This window comes from Homo sapiens, chromosome 20 (assembly GCF_000001405.40).
Source record: "Homo sapiens chromosome 20, GRCh38.p14 Primary Assembly".
NCBI classification, from domain to species: domain Eukaryota; kingdom Metazoa; phylum Chordata; class Mammalia; order Primates; family Hominidae; genus Homo; species Homo sapiens.
Window position 1 is genome coordinate 46,033,805 of NC_000020.11, and position 26,553 is coordinate 46,060,357.

A 26,553-nucleotide genomic window follows, 5' to 3' on the forward strand; every position below is an offset into this window, starting at 1 on the left:
ATAATTCTGTCTGTTGCTCTACATTGCTCTGGTCAGGCACATCATCAGCCCTTACCTGGGTTACTGAAAGTCTCTAACTACGGTACTCTGTTTTCTTCACCTAAAAGCCAGAGTGATGGCTCTAAAACATGGGTTTATTCATGGTATTTTTTTTTTGCCTGAAACTCTTCAATGACTCCCCATTGCCCTCTGGATGAGGTCCACATTCTTGAACACGACCTGCTAATCATTTAAGGGACCAGCCTGCGCTTCCCTTCCCAGGCTCACCTTTTCACTTTTCACTGCCCCTTCCACAGACTCCAGCCAGATCATACTTCATTCCTCTAACCCACTCTATTCACTGTCACCTCTGGGCCATTGAACATGCTGTTCTGCTATTCTGTCTGCCTGGAACACCCTCCCTTCCTCCCTCCCAGGCTAGCTCTTACTCATTCTTCAGCTCTCAGCGGACACGTCACTTCCTCTGGGAAGACTCCCATGACCTCCCAATCTGGGCTGGATGCCTCTCCTGTGTCCCAGTCCCTTGATCTTCTATCCTAGAATTGACCATGCCAGATTGGAAATTCCTGGCTACTGGTTTGTCTCCCTGCACTTGGGTTGCTTTCCTGAGAACAAGGATGATGTCTTCTGTGTCTTACCCTGCTTCCCCCATGCCTGTATTGGCACACGGTAGACACTTGGTAAACACATTGTGAATGAAGATGAATAAAGGGCATAGGAGATGTCAGAGGGGGTCACTTCTTCAAGAAGTGGCACATCCTTGGGGCCTTGATCTGTAGTGCTCCTGGAAGGCAGACCTTCTCCACTGGGAAAGAACATGCCTCCACCCCAAACACCGGTATGAGCCCAGCTATAGTTAAGAAGGAAACTCTGGAGAGTCTTGGGGTGTCCTGGTAAATGGAATAGGACCCCCAAGAGCAAGGAAGCACTCACACATCTGTTAATACGCAGTGCATACCAGCTAGTGCATTAGGCTCTGTATACATGCTGTCAACTGCAACCCTGCAAGGAAGGTGGTATTAGCCCCATTTTCCCAATGCGCGAACTGAGATTCAGAGGGCTACTGTGGCTACACCACTGTATGCCCAGGTGGTTGGACAACAACTGATTGGTTCCAGATCCCTGACCCCTCTCCCTTCTCAGGTGATGGCAACCCCAAGGAAAGCAGTCCCTTCATCAACAGCACCGACACAGAGAAGGGAAAGGAGTATGATGGCAAGAACATGGCCTTGTTTGAGGTGGGCTGCTAGGGCTGTTGGGCCCCCACCTACAATTCATTATCCTGATTCATCAGCTGCTCTCTCCCTCCCTCCCTAGGGAGCAATACCCTCGTCTCCACCCCTCCCTTGAGTCTACCTTCTTCCTTGAGCCTCCCCATCCCTCCTTCTCCCTCCTGGGATTTACTCCCTCTGCTCCCTGCCCTCTCCTCATCCTACCATTCTTACCCCTGTTCTCCTCACCTGTTCCTCCTCCTTTCCCATCTCATCCCAACCTGAATAGTTTCGTGCTCCTTGTCCCCATCTCTTCCTCTGCCCTTCGCCACCCAGCTCACTCCACTTGCTCCCCCAGCCTCCTAGCACTGACACCCTCCCTCCATAGGAGGAGATGGACACCAGCCCTATGGTGTCCTCCTTGCTCAGTGGCCTGGCCAACTACACCAACCTGCCCCAGGGAAGTAGGGAGCATGAAGAGGCAGAAAACAATGAGGGTGGAAAAAAGAAGCCGGTGCAGGTGAGGACCTCGGGGGATGAGAAATGGAAGAAAAGGGACGGATGGGGGGTGGGGGAGGATGGGGGAGGAAAATGGATTTGAATGGAGGGAGGGAAAGGGGATACAAATCAGAAAGAAGAGGGATGAAGGGTTGAGAATAGAGAGAAGAGGAAGGTGGGGGCAGAGAAACATGGAGGAGGAGCACACCTGGGGTGTTCGTAATGATGAGGACTGCAGAGACTGATGCTGGCCTCCCTGGCAGGCCCCACGCATGGGCACCTTCATGGGCGTGTACCTGCCGTGCCTGCAGAACATCTTTGGCGTCATCCTCTTCCTGCGGCTCACCTGGGTGGTGGGCATTGCAGGCATCATGGAGTCCTTCTGCATGGTGTTCATCTGCTGCTCCTGTGTGAGTGACACCCCTCCCCTCACCACCCCCTGACAGCTGGGGCTTGGCAGAGGCCTGGGGGTGGGAGGTGGGAGGATGGAAGCATGAGACCTGAGCTTTTTATAGGAACCACTGCTTATGATCTTTGAGAGTAAATTAGGCCTGACTGGTCCTTCCTGCATCTCACAGGCTTGTCCTTGATGGCTGTTAACCAGGTTTCACCTGGATCTCTCTGTGTGTAATTACACAAGTGATGCAGCTCATTGATGGAAATGATAAGGGTAGGGAAGAAAATAAAATTCACCTATAATCTTACAATAGTTAACATTTTGGCAGGTCCAGACTCACAAAAATGAGATTACATGTCACAAACAGCATTGTAACCAAATTCTTCCCATTCTCTCTAAAAAAATCAAATATTCGCCAAACACCTACTTCTTGATATATTTACATGTCCTCGTACATAACCTTGAGACAGCTCTGCATGTGAGGTACGCAGTGTCGGAGCTGTTACTCCTATTCTATAGATGGAGAAACTGAGGCTTGGAGAAGTGAAGTGAGTTGTCTCAGGTCAGGCAGCTGGTCTGAGACCAGGCTGGGATTTCCAGAGCTCTCTGATGCTGTGGCTTGCTTGGGCTCCTTCCGTTCGCATGGTGAATAAGGTTTTCTTGAGAAGAAGGACTTGGCAGGAGTAGAAGTTGGAACAGGTCCAGGGAGCAGCTCAGCAGAAGAGAACCTGTGGGTTTGGCTGGTGTTTATGGGGTATAAGGCTTGGCCCCCACCCAGGCCACTGCGGCCCCTACCCCAGCCACCGCTCTGATGATCTCTTTCCTCACAGACGATGCTCACGGCCATCTCCATGAGTGCAATTGCAACGAATGGTGTTGTGCCTGGTAGGTGACTGGGGCTTTGTGGGGAGGGAGGATGGCTGGGTGGAAGGAGGGATAGTGCCCTGGGCTTTGGGGGACATCAAGGCCCAAGAGAGATAATATTCTAGACTAGGGGGCTGGGCTGTATCTGTTTTCAGCCCTATTGGGGGCAGAGGAGGAGGCAGCTCTCGGTGTTGAATAGGGCAGCCCTCCCCCAACTCATCCTGAGACCCTCCTCTCCACCATCCAATTTTCTGAGCCATGACCTCCTTAAAGGGGTAATTAGCAACATGGTAATTAGTGCTGCAAAATCCATGCAGAGTGGTTGCTTGGGTCTCTCACCAGTCCCCTTTCTAGGGCTGCAGCCCATAAGCCTGTGAGGCCTGGAGCAACCCCCTTCTGCCTCTGTCACTGAACACCCCTCACCCCTTACGGCAGCCCAGTGCCCCCGACCCTCTCGCTGATACCAGATTCTCCCTGCAGCTGGTGGCTCCTACTACATGATTTCCAGGTCTCTGGGCCCAGAGTTTGGGGGTGCCGTGGGCCTCTGCTTCTACCTGGGCACTACCTTTGCAGGAGCCATGTACATCCTGGGCACCATCGAAATCCTGCTGGTAAGAGAGGCTGAGGAGGAGGTGTGGAACCCCAGGTTGTCAGTCAGTTAATCAGTGCTCCCTGGACACCTCCTATAGGCCAGGCCATTCAGTGAGGCCAAAAATGTGGTTCAGTAAGGCCAAAGTCAGATGTGGTTCTGTTTCTAAAGAGTTCACAGTCTAGTTGGGGAGACAAGATACAATAATTATGTAACATACACAGCTGTCGTTTATCAGGCCCCCACTGAGCTCTCAGCATCCTTCCAAGTGCTTTCCAGCCATTCTCTTGTATCCTTACGAGGTTTAAGTATTATGATGCCCATTTTACAAATGAGAAGCTCAGAGAGGTGAGATAACTTCCTCAAGGTCACTCAGCTCTCAGATAGGCGGCAGAGGTGGGTTGATGAGTTAAAATATGGTAGAAATAAAAACAGTAATGTTATGCAGCAGCTACCATTGTGTGATTGCCTCCCAAGGGGCATGGACTGTGCTAGGTACTCTATGATGTTAATGGTAGATGGCTGGTGGCTATTGGATTGCAAAAGAGAAGAACCAGGGGAGGGATCCGTATAAAGACATCTGTTGGGAATAGTGACTGATGGAGAGAAACCAGGTTGCTGGGCAGTGCTTGAAGTCAGGACTGGTGACTTAGGTCTCCATCCTTCATCCCCTTCCTGTAGGGCATGGGTGCTGAAGAGGTGTCCCTGGTGGATAGGAAGTAGAGCTGACATGTCCCAAGCCCCTACTCTGTGCAGGCCCCAAGGCTTGAAGTATATCATTTTATTTTATCGTCATGACTCTCTCATGAGTTAAAGGTGGCCATTTTATTTTATTTTATTTTTTATTTCTTTTGAGACAGAGTCTCACTCTGTTGCCCAGGCTGGAGGGCAGTGGTGCAGTCACTGACAGCCTCGACTTCCCAGGTTCAAATGATCCCCCCCACCAGTTCAGCCTCCCAAGTAGCTGGTAAGCACCACCATGCCCAGCTAATTTTTGTATTTTTTTGTAGATAGGGGTCTCACTATGTTGCTCAGGCTGGTCTCAAACTCCTGAGTTTAAAATGATCCTCCCACCTCAGCCTCCCAAAGTGTTGGGATGACAGGCGTGAGCCACTGCACCTGGCTAAAAGGTGGCCATTTTACAGATGAGGAAAGCAAGGCTCAGAGTTTAAGGAACGAATGGAAGGAATATGAACCTTGGTCTTTCTGACTTCCAGAGCCTTACACAAGTGATGCAGCTTCATTGATGAAAATGATAAGGGTAGAGAAGAAAATAAAATTCACCTATAATCTTACAATAGTTAACATATGGTAGGTCCAGACTCACAAAAAATGAGATTACATGTCACAAACAGCATTGTAACTGAATTCTTCCCATTCTCTCTAAAAAATCAAATATTCACCAAACGCCTACTTCTTGATACATTTACGTGTCCTCTATACCACACTGCCTTGGAAACCTAGAACTAGAAGGTGTCACAGCAATTAGTGTCACGGCAGGATGGAAGAGGGTAGGACAGGGAGGATGGATGGGGCATGAAAGGCCTGAGGAGGCAAATGATGAGGGAGAATAGACCTCCATGACTTCTAAAAATTAAAATATTTGAAAATTGTTGTAAATGCAATTCTGCCCATTGCAGAAAATTGGGGGAATATCCAAGTCATGAAAAAATGTAAAGAAGGAAATAAGTCACCCAAAGAAAATAACCATTAACATTTTGGTGTATTGCCTTCTAGTTTTTGTTTTTCTATGTGGTATTGTATTCTGTCTATGTAAAATATAACCCTATACCTAAGCAACTCATATTCTCTTTGTATATATTATTTGCAGTGAAAATAACTCTTGGAAGAATGTAAACGTTAATATTTAGCATGGGAATTTTAGAAAATACAGATGTGCATAAAGAATAGATTATCCACATTTTTTACGATTCAGGGAAAACTACTGACAACATTTTGATGTACTTATGAAAACACATACAGACGTATACTAATATACGTATATATCTTCACATACACATTTATAAAAATGAGATAATGAGACATATTCTTTTTCAAAAACCTGATTGTGTTCACCTAATGTACCATGGATAGCTTTTAAAGTCAGTCCATATAAATCTATGTCATCTGGCCGGGCACAGTGGCTCATGCCTGTAATCCCAGAACTTTGGGAGGCCGAGGCAGTTGGATCACCTGAGGTCAGGAGTTCGAGACCAGCCTGACTGATACGGTGAAACCCCGTCTCTACTAAAAATACAAAAATTAGCCAGGGGTGGTGGTGGGCACCTCTAATCCCAGCTACTCGGGAGGCTGAGGCAGGAGAATCACTTGAACCCAGGAGGTGGAGGTTGCAGTGAGCCAAGATCGTGCCACTGCACTCCAGCCTGGGCAACAAGAACAAAACTTTATTTCAAAAAAAAAACAAAAAAACCACCACCACAATAAAAAACCAACAACAACAATAAAAAACCAACTACATCATCTTTTTTAATAGCTCCATAGTCTGTGGGGATATCATGATTTATTCACCCAACCTCGAGTGATGAACATTTATTTCCACCTTTCTATTAGAAATTATTAAAATGATAAATAATTATTAAGAATTATAATTAACAAAAATAACAGAAGTAATTGCTTCCAGCATCCTTGCAATGTCATTTTTTAAAAAATGTATTTTTATTTGTTTTTGAGATGGGGTCACATTATGTTGCCTAGGCTGGTATTGAAATCCTGGCTTCAAGTGATCCTCCCACCTTGGCCTCTCAAAACACTGGGATCACAGGTGTGAGCCACCATGCCTGGCCTTATAATGTCATTTTTAAATGGCTGCATCATAGTCCTTGCAGGACAGGCCATGCCTTCTTTAGCGATTCTCCTATTACTGGATGTCTTTTCCAGTCTGGTACCACTGTGACTGTGCTGTGATGAGCATCTTTTTTCCTAAAGCGCTGCATGTAGTGCAAAGGGCTGCTGACTTAGGTATCTGTTCTTCCTGCCCCTTTCCCACAGGCTTACCTCTTCCCAGCCATGGCCATCTTCAAGGCAGAAGATGCCAGTGGGGAGGCAGCAGCCATGCTGAACAACATGCGTGTTTACGGCACCTGTGTGCTCACCTGCATGGCCACTGTGGTGTTTGTGGGTGTCAAGTATGTCAACAAGTTTGCCCTTGTCTTCCTGGGTTGTGTCATCCTCTCCATCCTGGCCATCTATGCTGGGGTCATCAAGTCTGCCTTCGACCCACCCAACTTCCCGTGAGTGCTGCTGCTCTGAGCCCAAGGAATCGTCCTCCTACCTCCCTGGCCCTGTTTCAGAGTCTCTGCCAAACTCCCCCTCCCTGCCCCTCAGAATCTCAGAGTGGTGTGGGTTGGGAGTAGCTTCCCTTGGGAGGGAAAATCTCTCTTAGTTTGGGGGCAATCTCTTCAGAGTGAGGTAACTTTTCTGGAGGAGGGAACAATTTACCTTGTAAGAGTCAACTTCTTGCTGGTAGGGTGGACTTAGGAAGAATTAAGTGGGAATGAGTTCCAAAGCAATGAATGCTGTCTGTGGTAGGGAAACCTTTCCTGGGTGGGGACAACCTCCTGGAATGGGACAATCTCCTAGTGTTGGACAACTCCTCCAGGATGGGAAAAGACACAGAAGTCTACAGGGTCCAGGGACTCAGATCCAAGTCCACTCCATCCACTGCTCAGAGGTGGAGGGCGGCCCCCGAGACCGCTGTCCACGGTGCTGAAACACAGCATTGCACTAATGCGGTGCTTCTCCACCTTGGCTGCTTATTAGAATCACTTGGGGAGCTTAAGAAAAAAAAAAAAAAGCCAATGGCCAGGCTTCATTTAAATTAAACGAGGAACTCTGGATATGGGGACCTGGCGTCCGTGTGTTTAAAAGGTCTCCCGGTGGCTGTATTGTGCAGCGAGGGCAAGGTTATGTGGCTCCCCACCTTCCTCCCTTGTTTCTCTCCCTAGGATCTGCCTCCTGGGTAACCGCACGCTGTCTCGCCATGGCTTTGATGTCTGTGCCAAGCTGGCTTGGGAAGGAAATGAGACGGTGACCACACGGCTATGGGGCCTTTTCTGCTCCTCTCGCTTCCTCAACGCCACCTGTGATGAATACTTCACCCGAAACAATGTCACAGAGATCCAGGGCATCCCTGGTGCTGCCAGTGGCCTCATCAAAGGTCTGCGGAGGGACAAGGGCTGGCATCCAGGGAACGCTGCAGGGATTGTAGGTTAAGCGGTCAGGATTAAGGGGCCCTCCTTGGGATTCAGCTAAATTCAATCAGCTTTAATTGAGCACCTACTCTGAGTTACATTCTGTCCTTGGCATCAGGGAGGAGTAAGGTGAAAAGGAGACAAGTATCTCACCGCTAGTAGGAAAAGAAGTCATCAACGTAACAGGTGGTCACTGAGCACCTACAGAGTGCCCAGCATTGTGCTGAGTGCTAGGAACACAAAATAAATAAGCCACAGTTCCTGGCCTCAAGGAGACTAATGGCAGAAATAGATGTAATAGCAAATACATTATGCCATATGTAGATGTGCATTCAATGCACAGAGAATGCCCGGGGGGGGAGAGTTCATGTGTATAAGATGGCAATAGGCTTCCTGGACTCAACTGAGGAGGGTTTTGAAGGACAAATGAAAGATCTTCAATTCTATGAGAGGAGTAAGGAAATTGCAACCAGAAGAACAGCTTGCCTAAAAGCAGGCAGAGGCAGAAGAGTTTATTGTGTCTTTCCAATCACAAGTAATTTGGTATGACTGGGGCATAAAGAGCAAAATAAGGTGGAGAAAGAAGCGATGTAGGAGAGGCTGGCATGAGCCAGATCATGGCAGGCCTTGGAAGCCATTTTGGAGAGTTGGGACCACATTCTGAAGGCAATGAGGAGCCACCAAGGGGTTTTGGGAAAGGGAGGGACGTGGTCAGATCTCCATTTTTTGAAGGTTCATTCTGGCTGCTAATGTGGATGGGTTAAAGGGGTGAGAGGAGAGAGGCAGGGGGCCCAGGAAGGGGCTGAGGCTATGAGTCCAGGAGAGAGAGATGGTGGTTTTCTGAGTGAGAGTGATGGAATGATGTCTGTGGGAATTACTGCAGTGCTTCTCAACCAGGGCTGTTTTGCCACCCAGTAAACATTTGGCTGTGTCTGCAGACGTTTTTGGTTGTCAAAACTGGAGGGGTGTACCTGGCATCTAGTAGGTAGAGGCCACGATGCTGCTAAACATCCTACAATGCTATAGGACAGTCCTCCACAGCAAAGAATTATCTGGCCGGGAGTGTCACTAGTGCCACAGTGGAGAGACCTTGGAATGGAGAGAAGGGGCATATTTAAGAAATATTAAGGAGGGGTTAAAGGACAGAAGTTGGAGGTGGTATTGAAGTTGGGGAAGGGGAGAGGGAGCAGTGTAGGGCAGGGTGTCAGAATTGATGATGGTGCCATTTACTGAAATATGGGATGCAGGAAAGGAGCTGGTTTGGGGTGGGTGGAGGGTGAGATCAATTTGGGACACATCGACTCAATCTGAGATGGGTCTTTATTTGCTCATTTACTCCACTAGATTGGACTGTTTGATGGTAGTGACTGGGTCTGATTAGTCTGTGAAAGGTCTGTACATAGCCTGGCCCAAATCAGGAGCTTAGGAAATGTCAGTGGAAATGAAATAGAGATAAGGCCGGGGAGAGTGAGATGGGGTTGATCTTGACCCTGACTTTTTGCCCCCTCCCACCTCCTGGTCCCAGAGCTCTGGTCCCCTTATGGCTGGCCTCCCCCTGAGCATTCTGTCTCCCCACAGAGAACCTCTGGAGCTCCTACCTGACCAAGGGCGTGATTGTGGAGAGGAGTGGGATGACCTCGGTGGGCCTGGCCGATGGCACTCCTATCGACATGGACCACCCTTATGTCTTCAGTGATATGACCTCCTACTTCACCCTGCTGGTTGGCATCTACTTCCCCTCAGTCACAGGTGAAGGGGAGCTCAGAGAGGGAAGACTCTGCCTGTGAGTGGATGGGGAAGAGAGAGTCGATGATGATGTTGGGAATTTCTTAGTCCAAAAACCCCATCATGAAAGCAACCGTAACATTTCACTTCCCATTGGAGAGATGAGGGAATTAAGGCCAGGAGAAGCTAAGTAACATGTCCAAGGTCTCACACAAGCCAGTATGTTAGGACTAGATCCCAGACTCACTGACCCTGAGGGTGGTGCCCTTTTTTCTCATCTGTCTGGTCTCCTGTGGCCCTGGCTTGAGTCCTAGCTGCACTTCTGTTTTGCAGGGATCATGGCTGGTTCTAACCGCTCTGGGGACCTGAGGGATGCCCAGAAGTCAATCCCCACTGGCACCATCCTGGCCATCGCCACCACCTCTGCTGTCTGTATCCTGCACAGCTGTGCTGGGACCACCCTCGGGGGAGGGCAAGAGGGAGGGCAGCTGAACTTGCTGCCTTACCTGCTGGTGCAGGAAGGGTGGGGAGGGGGAGGACTGAACCGTGGGGATTCTCCTTTATCCTCTGCTGCAGACATCAGCTCCGTTGTTCTGTTTGGGGCCTGCATTGAGGGGGTCGTCCTGCGGGACAAGTAAGATAATTGGGGTTGATCCTATTCTGGGGGAGGGGTGGGTATAGAAGGCTGAGTTCTGGGAAACAGACCCATCAGGAGGTGCTGGGACCTGTGTGAGGGGCCTGTGGGAGGGAGGCCACGGGGATTGCTTGCAAAGTCATCTTCTTATATTTCATCTTCCTTCTGTCACTCCAGTTTGAGAAGCTTGGATGGTGTCTCATTTCCTTTAGGATAATGATACTTTCCTTTTCTTTAAAATGGATTAATTCAATAGTGTGTCTAACATTTACTGAATGTCCATGTGTTGGTCACACAGACAGGAGTGGTATTTATCTGTGTTCCCTCCGAGATTCTGGAGGCAGCACAGATAAATAACACATGGTTTTTGTACTGAAGGAGCTCTTCTTGGTGGGTCTATACTGGCCAACAGACTTTAAGTGCAGTCGGTAGGGGTGGCCATACAGGAAAGCCCAGGGGCTTCAGTCCAGTCCTTAGGGATCTTCCCAGGGAAGTCTTCTCAGAGGAGGGGAGGCTAGAAGTGTCTTATACACTTTATCTCACTTATCCTTCCTGCTTTTAAGGCTGAGCAGAGATTAGGCAGCTTGGAGGAAGGGCATTCCAGGCAATGGGGAGCCAGGGTGGAGGGGAGAAATGTGTGCGCATGCCTGCAGCTGTGAGTGCTCACTGTCCTGGAGCACTCATGTCTGAAGGGCATGAGCACACACAACTGGCCGGGTGGTGTAGGAGGTCCTCTCAGAATCACTTTCCACTGGTACCACCAGGCTTCTGTAAGGGAATGCAGTGGGGGACGTGGGGCTGGGACCTATGCTGGAGACAGGCCTAGAGGCCTGGTTTTCAGTATCAGGAAATTAGAGAATTATTTTATCAAGGAAAAAACAATGGAACATTTGGGGCTCTGCCTCCCCTGTCACCCTTACAGAACTTAGTCCTGTGGCAGGCACACAGTTGGTTCTGTAGTTGGTATGGAGACCTGCCCTGGAAATCCAGGCAGCACTGCTCACCTGGCATCTCCTGTCCACATCATTCCAGGTTTGGCGAAGCTGTGAATGGCAACCTCGTGGTGGGCACTCTGGCCTGGCCATCTCCATGGGTAATTGTCATCGGATCCTTCTTCTCCACCTGTGGGGCTGGGCTGCAGAGCCTCACGGGGGCCCCACGCCTGCTGCAGGCCATCTCGAGGGATGGCATTGTGCCCTTCCTGCAGGTCAGTGTGGGAGAAGAACAGCCCACCCTCAGTAGACCAGCCAGGCCCCTGCCCAGAGAGACCACACAGTGACCCAGGGCCATAACCAGCCTTAGACTACCTCCTGGGCCACTTCTGCTCTGTACTGCACTGGCCAGGCCTATCTGGCAGGGTCTGAGGCACAGGGACAGGGTGGTGTGGGGTGTCAGGAGTTGGGCAGGGCATTGGGTGGTGCCCTGTCTGTGGCTTCTCCTTCACCCAGATGGAAGGATAAGTGTGTCTTACTTGGGATTTGGCCCATGGTCAGTGCATCCCTTGGAGCACTGTCTGCTCTTGGGGAAAAAATAAATGGCCCTGTTTTGGCACTGTGGTTGGTCGGAGACCTGGGGAGGCAGTCAAAGGGCAAGAAAAGGGTAGCTTTTACCATGGTGCTAAAAAAAAAAGACGGATGGAGCACAGGGTCGTGGTGGCTTGCTGGCTTCCTGACAGCTCCTCTCCCATCTGGTCCTCTGCAGCTGCTTTCCCCCTCTAGGGATCATTTGAACTTCATGGCACTGGGGTGCCGATCTCAGGGTGGGCAAGATGCAGCGAAAGCCTGTTATCCATTTGCATTCTCCTGGAGGAAGAGAAATGCATCCTCTCCCTTCCTCCTCTTTGGTGATAGGATTCCTGCCTCTACTCCACTGGTTCCCGAGGCTAGGGGAGAGGGCTGAGAAATCCTTGAGGTCTCAGTCCCATGATGATTGCTCTTTCCCCAGGTCTTTGGCCATGGCAAGGCCAATGGAGAGCCGACCTGGGCCCTGCTCCTGACTGCCTGCATCTGCGAGATTGGCATCCTCATTGCATCCCTCGACGAGGTGGCCCCCATCCTCTCTATGTGCGTGCCTGACTTCTTGCCCTCCCCCCTGGTTCAGGGTGTTTCTCTATCTGAATCCTGCAGCCGTTACCTGTGACAACCCACCCAGACACTTTAGCAACCCCAGGAAGTTCCCCATTGGTCATAGAAGCCCATCGTTTGTTATAGAGAGATTCATCCACACGTGTTATTAGGGTGTGTTGTGAGGGTATTTGGCTTGAAACCCCTTCCTAAGCACCACAGCATGATCTGGCCACCTCCTGACTTCCTGTCCCCTTTCCCCCTTTCTCTGCCCATGCTGTTGTTTCTGTTTCTGCCTCCCTTTGCATCTCTGTCTCCCCTGGGGCCTTCCTGTGTTCCAGGTTCTTCCTGATGTGCTACATGTTTGTGAATCTGGCCTGTGCAGTGCAGACGCTGCTGAGGACACCCAACTGGAGGCCACGCTTTCGATATTACCACTGGTGGGTGCTCTGTCCCCACACTTCCACTGAGCCACTTGCTCACCTCCACGCCAATCCTCATCTTACTCCAGTCCATCCCCTCTGGGTCTAAGGACCCCAAACCTGAAGAGGACATCCTTTTTTCTCCAGCTTTTGTTGACCAACTCACATGAGGAAGGTCCCCGAGAGGGTCTCCTAACAATCATAAATAATAACATAGCAGCATCATAAGCGGTCTCAGCTGGAATCTCTCTCCTGTCCGTGATGCCCAATAGCTCACAATGTAGCAGGGAGGCTGGAAGTCAGCTGGCCAGAGTTCAAATCATGACTCTGCACTTCCTAGCTGTGAGATCTTGGGCTGATGATGTAGCTTCTCAGAACCTCAGTTTCCTCAGCTGTGAAATGGGCATGATAGCTGCACCTGCCTGTGGGTTCTTGTGAGGACTACAGTACATGGCAGATGCTCATTGCACAGAGGCTGTAGTTCTCTCATCATTTTCCTCTATGGCTCTTCATCCTCACAATAGGCCCTCGGGGGCAGACAGAGCAGAAATGATCATGCTTGTCCTACAAAAGGAAACTGAGGCCCAAAGAGGGCAAGGGACCGGCCCAAGGTCCCCCAGCAAGACTGTGACACAACTGGGCTAGAACCAGGGCTGCCCACTCCTGTCTGGATGCTCCGGCTTTGCTGGTGGCCTTCTCCTGGGAGGACCCGTTTCCACTCCCCTGAGACCCTGGCCTCAGAATGCACCTGGCCAGGCCTGTCTGGCAGGGTCTGAGGAACAGGGACAGGGTGGTGTGGGGTGTCAGGAGTTGGGCAGGGCATTGGGTAGTGCCCTGTCTGTGGCTTCTCTTTCACCCAGAAGATCCCATATCCCCGTAGTCCTCATGGGGATGATGGTGTGAGTTCCCCTAGACCGGGCTGTCACCTCCCAGGTCTTGCCCATGCCCTGCCCCATCTCCCTCTTGCTTTCTAAGTCCCAGCTTCAGCAACAGCCCTGCTGGGGCTCAGAGGCTGGGTCTCCCCACCTTGTCTAGGACCCTCTCCTTCCTGGGCATGAGCCTCTGCCTGGCCCTCATGTTCATCTGCTCCTGGTATTATGCACTGGTAGCCATGCTCATTGCTGGACTCATCTACAAGTACATTGAGTACCGTGGGTGAGTGTGGGGAGTGGAGGTTGGGGTGGCTGGGGAAGGCTGAAGGGTGGTGGGAAGGAGAGGGAAGGGGTCATGAGGGATTGGGGTGGTGGGGGTGAGATGAAGCAGGGAGTGGGAGAGGATGGGGCTGGAGTAGAGGGAGAGGGTGATATGGGATGACATTGGAAGATGGGGGGTGGGAGCAGAGGCTTTGAGAAATGGACAGGAATGGTGAGAGAATGGATTTAGAAGTGATTTTCCAAGGAAACTTAGCCAAGGCTTGGTTGAGTCTGTTGGCAGGAGTGATACACATGTCCTTTCTGAGCCTGAGAGATGGCTCTGCCCTGGGGTAGCTGGTGCAGTGTAGATGGTTCTCCCTGCCCCCTCCTGGCTTTCTGCTCTCATGTGATCCACTTCCCGGCTCCCAGGGCAGAGAAGGAGTGGGGCGATGGGATACGAGGTCTGTCTCTCAGTGCGGCTCGCTATGCCCTCTTACGCCTGGAGGAAGGGCCCCCACACACCAAGAACTGGAGGTTAGTGGTGAGGGCACGGGTGTGCATAAGAGTGTGTGTGCATGAGTGCAAGGCTCAGGAGACAGGGGGAAGGGAGCAGGGCCTGACTTATCCTGCTTGCTTTGTTTTGCTGAGTCGTGCCCTAAAAGCCCAGCCTTGTCTGATTCCTTCCCACCTGAAACACTGAGGCTGAGCTGAGTTCCAGACATTTATGTGGGTATGTAAATGTCCACATACCCCACCATGCTAGCCTCCTGAGCAGTCATCCATTCATTCATTTCATCATTTCCATCATTTTTTCATAAAACATGAATGCCTGATGTATGGCAAGTCCCCTTCTAGTCTCTGGGGATGTAGGAAGCTCACAGTTTTGTGGAGAAGACACACATGGGGACAGACAAACATCAGATCATGTAGCATTTGCTCTGAGACAGGTGGAATCGTTCCCTTTGAGAGTTATAGGGGCTCTTAGGCATCTCTAGATTAATGACAATTCATCCATTTTATTCACGTGAAAATCAGGGATGCCGAGCGCGGTGGCTCATGCCTGTAACCCAACAGTTTGGGAGGCTGAGGCAGGTGGATCACTTGAGGCCAGGGGTTTGAGACAAGCCTGGACAACATGGCGAGACCCCATCTGTGCTAAAAATACAAAAATTAGCCAGGCATGGTGGCGTGCACCTGTAGTCCCAGCTACTCAGGATACTGAGGCAGAATAGCTTGAACCCAGGAGGCAGAGGTTATAGTGAGCCGAGATTGTACCACTGCACTCCAGCCTGGGTGACAGAGTGAGACCCTGTCTCAAAAAAAAAAAGGGGGAAATTGGAGGTCAGAGAGGATCTCACAGGTCACAGAAGGCAGACCTGGAGATGGAATCCTCACACCCCACCTCTTAGCCCTGGGTGCTGCATGCCCAACCCCTCACTCATCTCCCTGTGTTTCACCTTGCCAAGAGTAGAGCCTGAAACCCTGACTTAGGTTAGGGCATTGTTGACTTGTCTTGGCTGAGCCCAGTTGACTAAACTGGGCTCCCAGAACCTGGGGCTCTATATTATTTATCTGTGAATTCCCAAATGCTCAGCACATGGTCTAGCCCAGAGTAGGTGCTTAGAGAATGCTACGAAGTTGATAGGTGGTTGGAGGACTAAGACGGCTAAATGACTAAGGAAAGGGATGCATAAATAGATGGGTAGATGGATAAGTTTATGTACACGTGGGCGGGCAAAAGCATGAATCGATGGATGTAGGAATGGATGATAGGTAGGTAGATGTGTGGATAATTGAATGAATAATGCATGTATCAGTAAAGAAATATGCATATGAGTGGATGACTGAAGGATAAAATAGGTGGGTGGGTGGTTGAATGGGTAGATAGGTGAGTGAGGTGAATGGAGAAATGGGTTGATGGGTAGATGAATGGATGGGTGGTGAGGGGTATAGGTGGATGGGACAGATGGTTATAGAGGAGAGATGGCTAGATGACCTGGTGGTGGGTGTATGGTGTGTGGATGGTTGGTTACATGGTATATGGATTATGTGACTCTGCACACTCTTCAGGCCACAGCTGCTGGTGCTGGTGCGTGTGGACCAAGACCAGAATGTGGTGCACCCCCAGCTGCTCTCACTGACCTCCCAGCTGAAGGCGGGGAAGGGCCTGACCATCGTGGGCTCTGTCCTTGAGGGCACCTTTCTGGAAAATCATCCACAGGCCCAGCGGGCAGAAGAGGTGAGCAGAGGCCCTGGTTGGGCTTGGGAAAAGGTCAGGACACTTAGGAAGACAGTCTCTATCCTTTTGTACTTTCCTTCCTCATCACCTTCAGGATCAAAGGAAGTGCAGGCATTTCTTTTCTTTTCCTTAGAGGAAGAGCCTAAGAGCCTAGACAGTGAGTTCTTTAGAATTCAACTCACAGCATGAAAGACCATCAGAGGCAGAAGGGCCCATTTTATGGATAAGGAAACTGAGGCTTAGACAAGTCAGGTCATATGTCTAAGGACAGAAAATGAAGATTCAAATTAGGACTCCTTGAACTCCTACTCTAGACTCCTTCCTGCCAAAGTATAAATCTTTCAAGGTGATTTCCCAGCTGTGGACTCTTGATCCCTACAGTCTGGGGTTGACAAGGTGAGTATCCACATTTGATACAGGAAGAAACTGAGACCCAGAGAGGGAAAGCTGCTTGCTGAAAGTCGGAAAGCTGCTTGCTGAAAGTCAGAAAGCTGGTGGGAAGCAACATCAGGATTTGAACTCAGGCCCCTGCTCTGTGTCACCTGCTCTTGGTTCCACCCACTAGTCCATGCTTACAGGGCAGCCTACAGAACCAATGTGGGCTGTGGTGGCCAGTGTCTGCCTTAAGCACACAAAGAGGTGATTGGATCCCAAGGGTAGTAGAGGAAGTAGGTTCTGTCTGAGGGTCAGGCCTTTCTCCCATCAGGGCTGTGGCTAGCAGTGGAGAGAGAAAAAGAGGCCCGAAGGAGCAGAGGTGAGATGGGGAGGGGCACCCCGATGGCTTGCGACAGTCGCTGCTTCTGCCTCACTGGGCTGTTCACACTGATCTGTCAGGGCCCAGAGCTGGAGGCCTTGACTGGTCAGTTCCATTCAACACGCGGTGGCTGAGAATGTGCAGTGCACCAGGCACTGGGCGAGGCACAGGGGAGATGGAGATGTTCAAGACCAAGTCCCAGCCCTCGAGGTGCTCACAGGCTGGTGGGGAAGGCAGAGCATACACAGAAGGCTCTCAGACCCACCGGATGTCGATAAATGCTGTTAGAGTTAATAACATCAGGGTCGTACAATGTGTTGAGTGTTTTCAATTCCTCAGGCAGGATACTAACTAAGCCCTATGTGCATGATGACATGTGGTTCTCCCTATTCCTAAACAAGGTAGCTTGTCCTGACCCCTTGGGTGGTTAGGTGACTCACCCAAGGTCACACAGCCAGGAGGTGGCAGAGATAGGAGTTGAACTTCTATCTGTTTGACTTAGGGGTGGTGGTTAAGAGTGTGGGGGTTGGAGTCAGACTTCCCTGACTTGAATCCTCACAGTAACATTAGCTGTGTGTCCTTAAACAAGTCTTCCTTTCTCCAAGCCTCAGTTTCCCCATCTATAAAATGGGAGTAATAAGACTATTTCCCTCATAGTACAGTTTAAATGGGAGCCCTTAAAATACTTATTATGCTACTTAGAAAGATTGTTGAAACAAATTGTCTGGCTGTGCAGAGAAGCCCAGTTTAATTCTGGTCTGGGTGGGGGTGGTATCTGAAGACGGCGACATTTGAGCTGGGCCAGACAGGGTGTCATGTACAACTTGGCAGGGGCTTGTGTCAGGGTGATGGTGGAGAGCATGTCGGGCAGGGGGGCTGTATGAGCAGTGGGAGGGTGGCAGAAAGTGTGGTCAGATCATGAAGAGCCTTGATTGATCAAGAAGGAATGGGGCACAGAGATGATGGGGAGCCATGTGCCATTCTGGAGCCAGAGACTGACGTGATCAGAGCTGAGCTTCAGGAAGATTGGGATGAAAGGAGGGGAGAGATGGGAGGGAAGGAGGCTACAATGGGCCCAGCCAGGGCCAGGGAGGCCTGAGGCTGGTCCTTGTCTTTTCCCCCTCCCCTAGTCTATCAGGCGCCTGATGGAGGCAGAGAAGGTGAAGGGCTTCTGCCAGGTGGTGATCTCCTCCAACTTGCGTGATGGCGTGTCCCATCTGATCCAGTCCGGGGGCCTCGGGGGGCTGCAGCACAACACTGTGCTTGTTGGCTGGCCCCGCAACTGGCGCCAGAAGGAAGATCATCAGACGTGGAGGAACTTCATTGGTAACGCTATTGGGGGCTGGGGACAGAAGAGGGGTGGGGCTGGGGGCTGTAGAGGGGTGGAACTGGATTTCCGCTCCTTTGGGCCTGAGGGGTTTCCCAAGCACTGCGTGCCAAGTGTGGATTCAGCATATGCAGGTGACAGCAGTCAAGGCTGGCCACGTGCCAGCCACTGTGCTGGGCGCTGGGGACTCCGCTGTGAACGAGACAGTCTTGGCTCCTGCAGCGCTCACAGGCCCTGGGAGGAACACAGTGCAGGGCAGTGGGAAGAGCTACAGCTCTGAAGTCACAGAGGCTAGGCCCACATCTCAGCTCTGGTCCTTCCTAGCTGTGTGACTGTGCACACGTGACTCACTCCCTCTGAGATCAGATTTCTTGGTAATCGTAGGTAATAGTATATATAATAACTAACGTTTCTAGAATGAGTTCTGTGTGCCAGCAAGTTAAGGCTTTCTCTGATTCTCTCATCAGTCCTAGGAGGGCTACGCATTGTTATCTCCATCTTTTTTGATGTGAAACTGAGGCACAGAGAGATTAAGAAGTTTGCTCCAGCTGGGTTCGGTGGCTCACGCCTGTAATCCCAGCACTTTGGGAAGCCAAGGCAGGTGGATCGCTTGCGCTCAGGAGTTTGAGCTGGGCAACCTGGCAAACTACAGAGTAAATGAAAAAGAAGTTTGCTCCAAGTCACAAAGTGGGGAGCCAGGTTTTGAACCAGCCCGGAGGCTACACTGTTAGCTCCAAGCTATTCTGTCTCCTTTATAGGTAGATCATGGTTACAAGGTGTTGGGAGGATTCAGTGTGGTCATACATGATGGGCTCTTAGTAATCAGAAAGGGCAGGTGGTGTTATTGCCATTTGACAGGTGGGGAAACTGAGGCCTAGAGAGGTTGATAGACGTTCCTAGATCTAAACAATAAATATATGATGGGGCCCAAGTAGATGCTGGTTTTCTGACCACTCAGCCCATGGCCAAGGCCAGTTGGAGTGGGGTGGAGTGCTGGCTGCCAGGAGCCCTTGTGGCTGCTGCTGGGTGTTGGGAGAACCAGAGTCACTGTTTCCCCCTCTGGCCCTCTCCTTGGCCTCCCTCAGAGCTGGTCCGGGAAACCACAGCTGGCCACTTAGCCCTGCTGGTCACCAAGAACGTTTCCATGTTTCCTGGGAACCCTGAGCGCTTCTCTGAGGGCAGCATCGACGTTTGGTGGATTGTGCACGATGGAGGCATGCTCATGCTGCTGCCCTTCCTGCTGCGGCACCACAAGGTGAGTTGTGTGCGTGAGTGTATGCACGTGTGAGTGTGTGTATGCATGTATGCATTTGTGTGCATATGTGCACAACTGCAGGTCAGACTCAGGGGCTCTGGCCAGGGTCAGCTTCCGTGTCCTTCCTCCCCTGTAAACTCCTGGGAAAGGGATCTGCTGACCTACTTCATTCTGAGATGTTAGGAACTGATGGTTTCTCCTCTTGCAGGTGCACTGCTGTAAGGAGAGCAATGCTTAGCCCAAGCCAGTGATGCTTTCTTTAATGGGGGACCCTCAGACCTAAGCAGGGAAGGTTTTGTAGAGAGTGGCCCCAAAGACAGAGGATTTGGGGTCTGCATGTATGTGTGAGGAGTGGGTGGGAAGAGGGGAAGGGTGAGCGGACAGGGCCTGGCCCTGGATCTCCTCATCACATCTGGGCTGGACCTTTCTGAATCCCCTTCATCGCCTGCAGGTCTGGCGGAAGTGCAAGATGCGTATCTTCACTGTGGCCCAGATGGATGACAATAGCATCCAGATGAAGAAGGATCTGACCACATTTCTGTATCATTTACGCATCACTGCGGAGGTCGAGGTGGTGGAGATGGTGAGTCCCCAGGAGACACCGCTGGGGTTCCACCTGGCCCTCTTTCCTCTTGGCCCCAGCACCAAGTAGGGCAACTCTAACACCCATCAGCTTATGATGCTGGATCCTTTCCCCCTCATCCATCTCTTAGCCTCTCACATATTCAGCCATCCCTCCCTTCTCTATAAAAGTAGCCATGTCTAGTGCTTATTATATGCCAGGCACTGTTCTATGCACTTTATATGTACATAAATTCCAACAACGACCAATGAGATAGATACAATTATCAGCATTTCCATGTTACAGATTAGGAATATGAAGTGCAGAGAAGTACAGTCACGTATTCATTGCTTAACAACAGGGATATGTTCTGAGAAATGTGTTGTGAGGTGATTTTGTTGTGTGAACATCATAGAGTGTATTTATGCACACCTAGCTGGTACAGCCTACTACACACAAAGGCTTATTGCTCTTATGCTACAGACTTATACAGCATGTTACTCTACTGAGTACTGTAGGCAATGGCAACACAGTGGGAAGTATTTGTGTGTCTAAACATATCTAAACATAGAAAAAATACAGCAAAAATACAGTAATCTTAAGGGAACACCATTTTATGTGCAGTCTGCCATTGACGCACATACAATGGTGTTATTTGGCATATGACTGTAATTTGCCCAATAACACAGAGTACCTGGTGGAGGCAGGATTCAAACCCAGGCAGGCTGGCTCTAGAGCGTGTGCCCCTGGTGATTATCCTGTAGAGCATCTTGTCCAACCATCCTCTCAATTCATGTGTCCATCCACCCATCCCTCTGTGTTTTCATTAATCTACCCATGTATTCATTGAAGTATTCATTCACTCACTCTCCCATTCATTCTTGCATGTATTCATTCATCGCTTTGTTCTTTTTCTTCTTTCCCTTCTCCATTCACCCAGGTGATTAATTAATCCACTCATTCATTAGTTCATCCATTCATATGCCTGGTCCTGTGCTGGGCTGAGGAGGGAATGAGCTGCCTGCCTTGCAAGAGCATTGCCCTCTCTGCTACGTCCTTGCCTCCTACAACCCTTGACAAAATTAATGATTGGGTAGGGAAGCCCTAGGCTGCCAGAAGGACGGGGGCCTTCCTTCCTTCCCTTGGCCTTTCACCTGGGCTCAGACCTCATGCTTTCCTCCGTGTTCCTCTCCCCACCCCCCAACCCCAACCTCTGTCTGCCCACAGCATGAGAGCGACATCTCAGCTTACACCTATGAGAAGACGTTGGTGATGGAGCAGCGTTCCCAGATCCTCAAACAGATGCATTTAACCAAGAATGAGCGGGAGCGGGAGGTGAGGTTGCCCTGGCTGGCCCCTGAGAGCCTCAAACTGCTGCCAGTTCTGGGTGGCAGGTTTAGGATGCCTCAGGGCTGACACTCCTGGCATTTCAACTTCACCCTCATCTCCCTGATTCCCCCAACCACACCTCCTGAAACTGATCTCCCAGACAGCAGGAGTATACACTGCAGCTTCACTGCCAACCTCCCAGCCAGGAGGCAGAGGGACTTTGGTATGGGTGACAGATCTTCTCCTCTGTATGTGACTTCTGGAGCCTGAGAGAGAAGAGTGGATGCTAAATACGTATGGATGATGAGTCCTTAGGGGTGTGGGCTGCCAGTGTGAGGGATAAGGGCTCATGTAGAAACCCTTAGAGAGTGGGTAACAGATGGGTGTTTAGAGATATAACTGATGTGTGGGAGTTAGGGGAAAATCCCCTAGGGTGTGATTGATGGGATCTCAGGGGTAATGGTGATAAGCCCCCCCATAGGGTGTGGGTGTAAGATCTTCTAGGTGTGGGTGATGTAGAACCACCAGAGTATGGATGAAAGACCCACCCAAGGGAGTGGAGTCCTTGGGAAAATGAGTGGTGTTACCCCAGCTGGGGACAGAAGGGCTCCTGGAGGTGGGTGATAAGTTGCCCAGGGAATGGGTGGCAATCCTACACATGAGGGTAATAGAACCATGGGTTTTGAGTCTCCCAGGGGTGGGTAATGTATTTATCAGAATGTGGTTGATGGATTCTCAGGGGGATGAGTGATGGGTACCACTTTGAGATGGGAAGGATGGATCCTCCAAGGCTGGGAGTGTTATCCAAGGGAGGTAGTAAAAATGGTAAAACATGGCATGGTCACTGACCAGTGGACTGAGGACTGACATTGGACCATAGTGCTAGGCAGAGCCTTGCTGTGCCAAGGTTAACCCTTTTGTTGCCAGATGAGGTCTGGGGTTCTGGAGAGGAGGTGGGGCAGGCAGATCAGTGGTGCAGTAGCTATTTGGTCTCAAATCATAGCAATATTTTAACAACTGGTACAGTTCCAGAAAGTGCATCCTGGCTGAACATCATCTCTGGTGATAGCTCTTTGCAGGGCATGGGTGGTGACTCCCAGCAGAGCTGGCACCAACCTATGTCACTCCCTAGATCCAGAGTATCACAGATGAGTCACGAGGCTCAATCCGGAGAAAGAATCCAGCCAACACGCGGCTCCGCCTGAACGTCCCAGAAGAGACGGCTGGTGACAGTGAAGAGAAGCCAGAGGAGGAGGTGTGCAGCTTGGGTGGTTTGGCCCCAACCAGTGGGAGCAGAGCCCTTGGCCTCCAAAGGACTCAACTGCCATCGCTTCATTCATCCCTCAGGTGCAGCTGATCCACGATCAGAGTGCTCCCAGCTGCCCCAGCAGCTCCCCGTCCCCAGGGGAGGAGCCTGAGGGGGAAGGGGAGACAGATCCGGAGAAGGTGCATCTCACCTGGACCAAGGACAAGTCGGTGGCAGAGAAGAATAAGGGCCCCAGTCCTGTCTCCTCTGAGGGCATCAAGGACTTCTTCAGCATGAAGCCGTACGGGCCTGGGGGCTAAGGGCTGGGGGCTGGGGTGAGCTAAAGGGTCTTGCTCCCCATGGCAGAGCAAGAGAGCAGAAGGCATCCTGGTCTGTCAGCCTGCAGACCCAGCTCAGACATTGTCTTGGTTTCTCCATCTGAGGACTTAGGGGGTTGGGCCCCATTGCTAAGTCTCAGAATTCCCAGTTGCAGGCAGCGGAAAGGTGAAGGGTGTGGGGGCTGGCAGAGCAGGACTCAGGGCAGATGACCATGGCCCAAGCCCCCAGTGTCTTCCTCTTTTTCTGACTCTGCTCTTTTTCTTTCTCTCTTTGCATCTCTTGTGTTTCCTGAAGGGAGTGGGAGAACTTGTAAGTGCTTCAGCATTTTTTCATTCTCTCTCCTAGGATGGCCAGGGTCCCTACCCTCCTCACTCTGTTGTGAACCCCTAATTGGTGCCACGACCTCTGGGATCTCTGAATAGCCTAGCCTGGAGATGTTTAGGATTGGTGGTCCTAGGCTTGCAAGAACCAGTCCCCAGCAGCCCAGTTCGGGCTGGAAGGGCGACTGGCTCCAATCTTCTCTACCCCCCCGGCTCACGCGGTCTCCACTCCTCCTTCCTGCCGCAGGAACCAGTCCAACGTGCGGCGCATGCACACGGCCGTGCGGCTGAACGAGGTCATCGTGAAGAAATCCCGGGACGCCAAGCTTGTTTTGCTCAACATGCCTGGGCCTCCCCGCAACCGCAATGGTGATGAAAACTGTATCCTGGAATTAAAATTGGGGGAAAGAGGGAGGTGGACGTCAGGGAATCTGGGTCCTGTCCCTGGGATGGAAGAGCTGAGCTGTTCCTGCCTCCGGATCAGCACCTCGGACAGGGACACGGGCGCGAGAGGTCCCCTGGCAGCCGAGCGCGACCCCAATTTCGTCGGGAGGGAAGGAGACCGGGTCTTTCTCCTTGACCGGCTCTCAGACATGGAGTTTCTCGAGGTCCTCACAGAGCACCTGGACCGGGTGATGCTGGTCCGCGGCGGCGGCCGCGAGGTCATCACCATCTACTCCTGAGAACCAGGACCTGCCACCCGGGCCCGAGCGCGCCCGGCCCGCGGCTCCGGAGCCCTCGCCGCGCCCCCCGCCGCTGTCACCGTTTACATACAGACCCTGTGCCCGTGTCCTGGCCCCTTACCCCGCTGCCTGAAGCCCGGAGGCCACGCCTGTTGGGGCTGATTCGGAGAGGGCGCCCCGCCGCGCAGAGACCAGAGCTCCTCAGTGCCAGTTTGGCCCCTGGGTCTTCGCTGCCCTTTTTCTAAGCCCGGCCTCGTCTCGCCGGAGGAGACGCTGCAATAAAGGTTGGGAGAAGGCGCGGAAAGGAGAGGAGCTGGGGCCTTGGGGACCCCCAGGTAGTCCATGCGGCCCATTCCTCCCCTTCCCACTCCCGCCGCGGTCCTCGCTCTGCGCTCCTCCGGCGCTGCTCCCTGGCTCCCGGCGGCCCGGAGGCCCGCGGGGTGGGAAGGCCGCGCTTGCCGTCTCCGCCGCCCCTTCTCGCCGAGCCGTGGGGCGCGGGCGGCCGAGCCTATACATAGTGTACAGGAGACATCGCGTGTATTTTTAACGTCCCCATATTTATGTGACTAGAAGCGCAACAGACTTCTCGCCATAGTCGAGCTCTCCCGCTGGGGGCACTGCGGGGAGGCGAGGCCTCGGGAAGCTGAATTTTCCTTGACGTCCAAGAGTTTGAGAGCGAAAGTGCTTTAGGCCCAGGCGGGGGTCGTGGCCTCGTTCCCTCGACACCTCCGTCCTGCTCTCGCCTCTTCGCCCTTTCCGCGCGCCCTTGGCTTCCCACCCTCCTCTCCAGTCCTTTTCCGAGATGAGGTGAGACAAGGGTCCAACTTTTCCTGGATTCGCCTCCCAGCGGACGTGAGCTTCCACTGCGGCTGCAGAGACGCGAGCAACCTCTTCTCATCGGCTCTTATGCAAGTTGGGGCCAGGATAGGGGAGGGGTGCTCCTCAAGAGGAAGAAACCGAGAGGCCCGCGCCCCACCGAGGAAGCCCCGCCCCGGTGCCTTCGCTGGGGAGCAGGCGTCTCTCCTCAGTCGGCTTGTCGCCTGCTCCCCGTATCCCATGGCTCCTCGCCAAAGACTGAAATTGTGGAGCTGGAGGGCGCCCCCTCCCCGGAGTTTCCTCCCTGGGACAAGTGAGGGAGGAGGGGGCCGATTCTGGTTTAGGGGCCGGACCCACTGAGAGGCCCCAGAGCCGCCCGTGATGTTCCTCCCCCGTCCCCATCTGGCAGCTCCTGTCTCGCCTGAGGGACCCAGCCGCCTTCTCCGTGCTCTGGGGCCGGGCCTCGCTGCTTAGCAGCGGCCTCTAGCTCCGTCTCCCGGGGACCTGGGCCTGAGGGAGGGCTGGAGTCGCACGCGCTTTGTCCTTAGCGCCTGTCTGCTCTCCTCTAACTAGGACCCAGGGCCTTTGGCTTCCCCAGCTCATCCTTGGCCCTTCCGCTCCACCAGCCTGGTCTGAGGCGTGCTCTGTCCTTAGAGAAGGCGCGGTGGCCGGGTTCCCTTCCCCTAGGGCACATTACTAAGGGGGTCAGGCACTGCATGCTCGTTCCAGCACCATCTGGGACTGGGTACAGTACCTCCAGCCCCAGGGCCCTGACCTGCGCACCTAGCTTGACATCTCACGCACCTCCCAGAGCTGGCGCCACTGAGTAATCCGGACCTCACCACCTCTTTTCCTTTGAGCCCAAGGCAGAGCTGGAGCTGGCGCCACCCAGACAGCGTCAGGTGTGGCTGGGGTAGGTTTGGAGGTCTGCCAGTTACACCAAGTCCCCTCTGAGATTCGATCAGGGGACTGGATAGATTCTTTCAGGTACTCAATCAGGAAGCTGGAGGTGTTAGACACCAGCCCCCTGCATCCTTCAGTAGACCTCCCTCTGAACACCACAGCCAGGTCCTGCCTTCTGGGGGCCTGAATATTCCAGAGCTGATGTGATGGGCTGTGCAGAAGGGGGCTGTATCAACATCAATTAGGGAACCAAAGTTGCACTATCTGGGCCCAGATTGTCTGGTTGGCAAGAGCAAAGTTTCCGTTGATGAAACAGACATCCCACAACAAAAACCCAAGTTTTCTGTGCTACATGTGCAATATTTGTTATGAATGTTATCACAAGTCATTCATCAAGTTATCTTTATAATCACTGTAGTTAGATGTTTCATGTCCATTCAAGTGACTTTTATTCTGAGTGCAATATTTCAATAGCCTTGTAGTGATAACTAGTGTTGCTTTTGTTTTAGATGATCTATGTGCAGGGCAATGCAATGAAGTTGAAAACCCTTGTAAATAGGAGAGGTTGCAAACCAAATCAAGAGTATTTATTACTATTACTGCTATTATTATTAGGCCTGCCTTTAATTTTCAGTGTAAGTGTTCAGTATGCCGCATCCTGCCTCAGTATTGATCTTGTGTTCTTTGTGCCAATATGAAAAGGAGAGGGTTGGTTCTTTCCTTTATTGTTGAATGCTCCCATTTAATGCTTTATGGCTTTTACTGTGTTACTTTTTTAGACTCCCGTCTGCACAAAATGCAATAAAAATAATTTTATTATACCCTTCATGGCCTGAGATGTGCTGTTTGGACACTCCAGGGGGCCCTCCAGGAGGACCCCACACTCTTAAATCAGAAACACTGACCACCGACAGAAGAGATGGGCTAATGGCCCAGGTCTGGTGATCTAATTTATCCACCGATAGCTCCAGGGCCCTGGCCTGGAGAGCAGCACTATCATCTCCTAAGAGACTGGCAGGCACTTACTAGGTGT

General features: G+C 51.7%; 1 protein-coding gene across 2 annotated transcripts in view, besides 3 other annotated features; it reads left to right on the top strand.

Moving 5' to 3' along the window:
* SLC12A5 (solute carrier family 12 member 5) overlaps positions 1 to 26,346 on the top strand; it is a 38,465-nt gene extending 12,119 nt beyond the window's left edge. For both annotated transcript variants that reach the window (NM_001134771.2, NM_020708.5), the window contains exons 2-26: positions 1,144 to 1,238; positions 1,600 to 1,731; positions 1,973 to 2,119; positions 2,937 to 2,991; positions 3,451 to 3,581; positions 6,569 to 6,810; positions 7,525 to 7,736; positions 9,349 to 9,519; positions 9,829 to 9,927; positions 10,072 to 10,129; positions 11,162 to 11,336; positions 12,074 to 12,192; positions 12,534 to 12,632; positions 13,650 to 13,769; positions 14,177 to 14,281; positions 15,818 to 15,986; positions 17,871 to 18,066; positions 19,153 to 19,322; positions 19,774 to 19,905; positions 21,112 to 21,219; positions 22,346 to 22,468; positions 22,561 to 22,760; positions 23,093 to 23,107; positions 23,366 to 23,499; positions 23,710 to 26,346. In NM_001134771.2, the coding sequence (NP_001128243.1) occupies positions 1,144 to 1,238; positions 1,600 to 1,731; positions 1,973 to 2,119; positions 2,937 to 2,991; positions 3,451 to 3,581; positions 6,569 to 6,810; positions 7,525 to 7,736; positions 9,349 to 9,519; positions 9,829 to 9,927; positions 10,072 to 10,129; positions 11,162 to 11,336; positions 12,074 to 12,192; positions 12,534 to 12,632; positions 13,650 to 13,769; positions 14,177 to 14,281; positions 15,818 to 15,986; positions 17,871 to 18,066; positions 19,153 to 19,322; positions 19,774 to 19,905; positions 21,112 to 21,219; positions 22,346 to 22,468; positions 22,561 to 22,760; positions 23,093 to 23,107; positions 23,366 to 23,499; positions 23,710 to 23,801 (3,299 nt within the window). In that variant the 3' untranslated portion in view covers positions 23,802 to 26,346. The remainder of the gene's footprint in view (positions 1 to 1,143; positions 1,239 to 1,599; positions 1,732 to 1,972; positions 2,120 to 2,936; positions 2,992 to 3,450; positions 3,582 to 6,568; positions 6,811 to 7,524; positions 7,737 to 9,348; positions 9,520 to 9,828; positions 9,928 to 10,071; positions 10,130 to 11,161; positions 11,337 to 12,073; positions 12,193 to 12,533; positions 12,633 to 13,649; positions 13,770 to 14,176; positions 14,282 to 15,817; positions 15,987 to 17,870; positions 18,067 to 19,152; positions 19,323 to 19,773; positions 19,906 to 21,111; positions 21,220 to 22,345; positions 22,469 to 22,560; positions 22,761 to 23,092; positions 23,108 to 23,365; positions 23,500 to 23,709) is intronic.
* Positions 7,106 to 7,400: a silencer, noted in NCBI's record as "tiled region #13245; HepG2 Repressive DNase unmatched - State 10:DNaseD, and K562 Repressive DNase matched - State 10:DNaseD". NCBI's record gives its function as "represses a minimal TATA promoter and a strong SV40 promoter by Sharpr-MPRA in HepG2 and K562 cells {active_cell/tissue: HepG2 | K562}" and the evidence as "EXISTENCE:reporter gene assay evidence [ECO:0000049][PMID:27701403]".
* Positions 7,183 to 7,383: a silencer, noted in NCBI's record as "peak4225 fragment used in MPRA reporter construct". NCBI's record gives its function as "represses an SCP1 promoter by STARR-seq MPRAs in K562 erythroleukemia cells {active_cell/tissue: K562}" and the evidence as "EXISTENCE:reporter gene assay evidence [ECO:0000049][PMID:32103011]".
* Positions 23,526 to 23,820: a silencer, noted in NCBI's record as "tiled region #3425; HepG2 Repressive DNase matched - State 10:DNaseD, and K562 Repressive non-DNase unmatched - State 10:DNaseD". NCBI's record gives its function as "represses a minimal TATA promoter and a strong SV40 promoter by Sharpr-MPRA in HepG2 and K562 cells {active_cell/tissue: HepG2 | K562}" and the evidence as "EXISTENCE:reporter gene assay evidence [ECO:0000049][PMID:27701403]".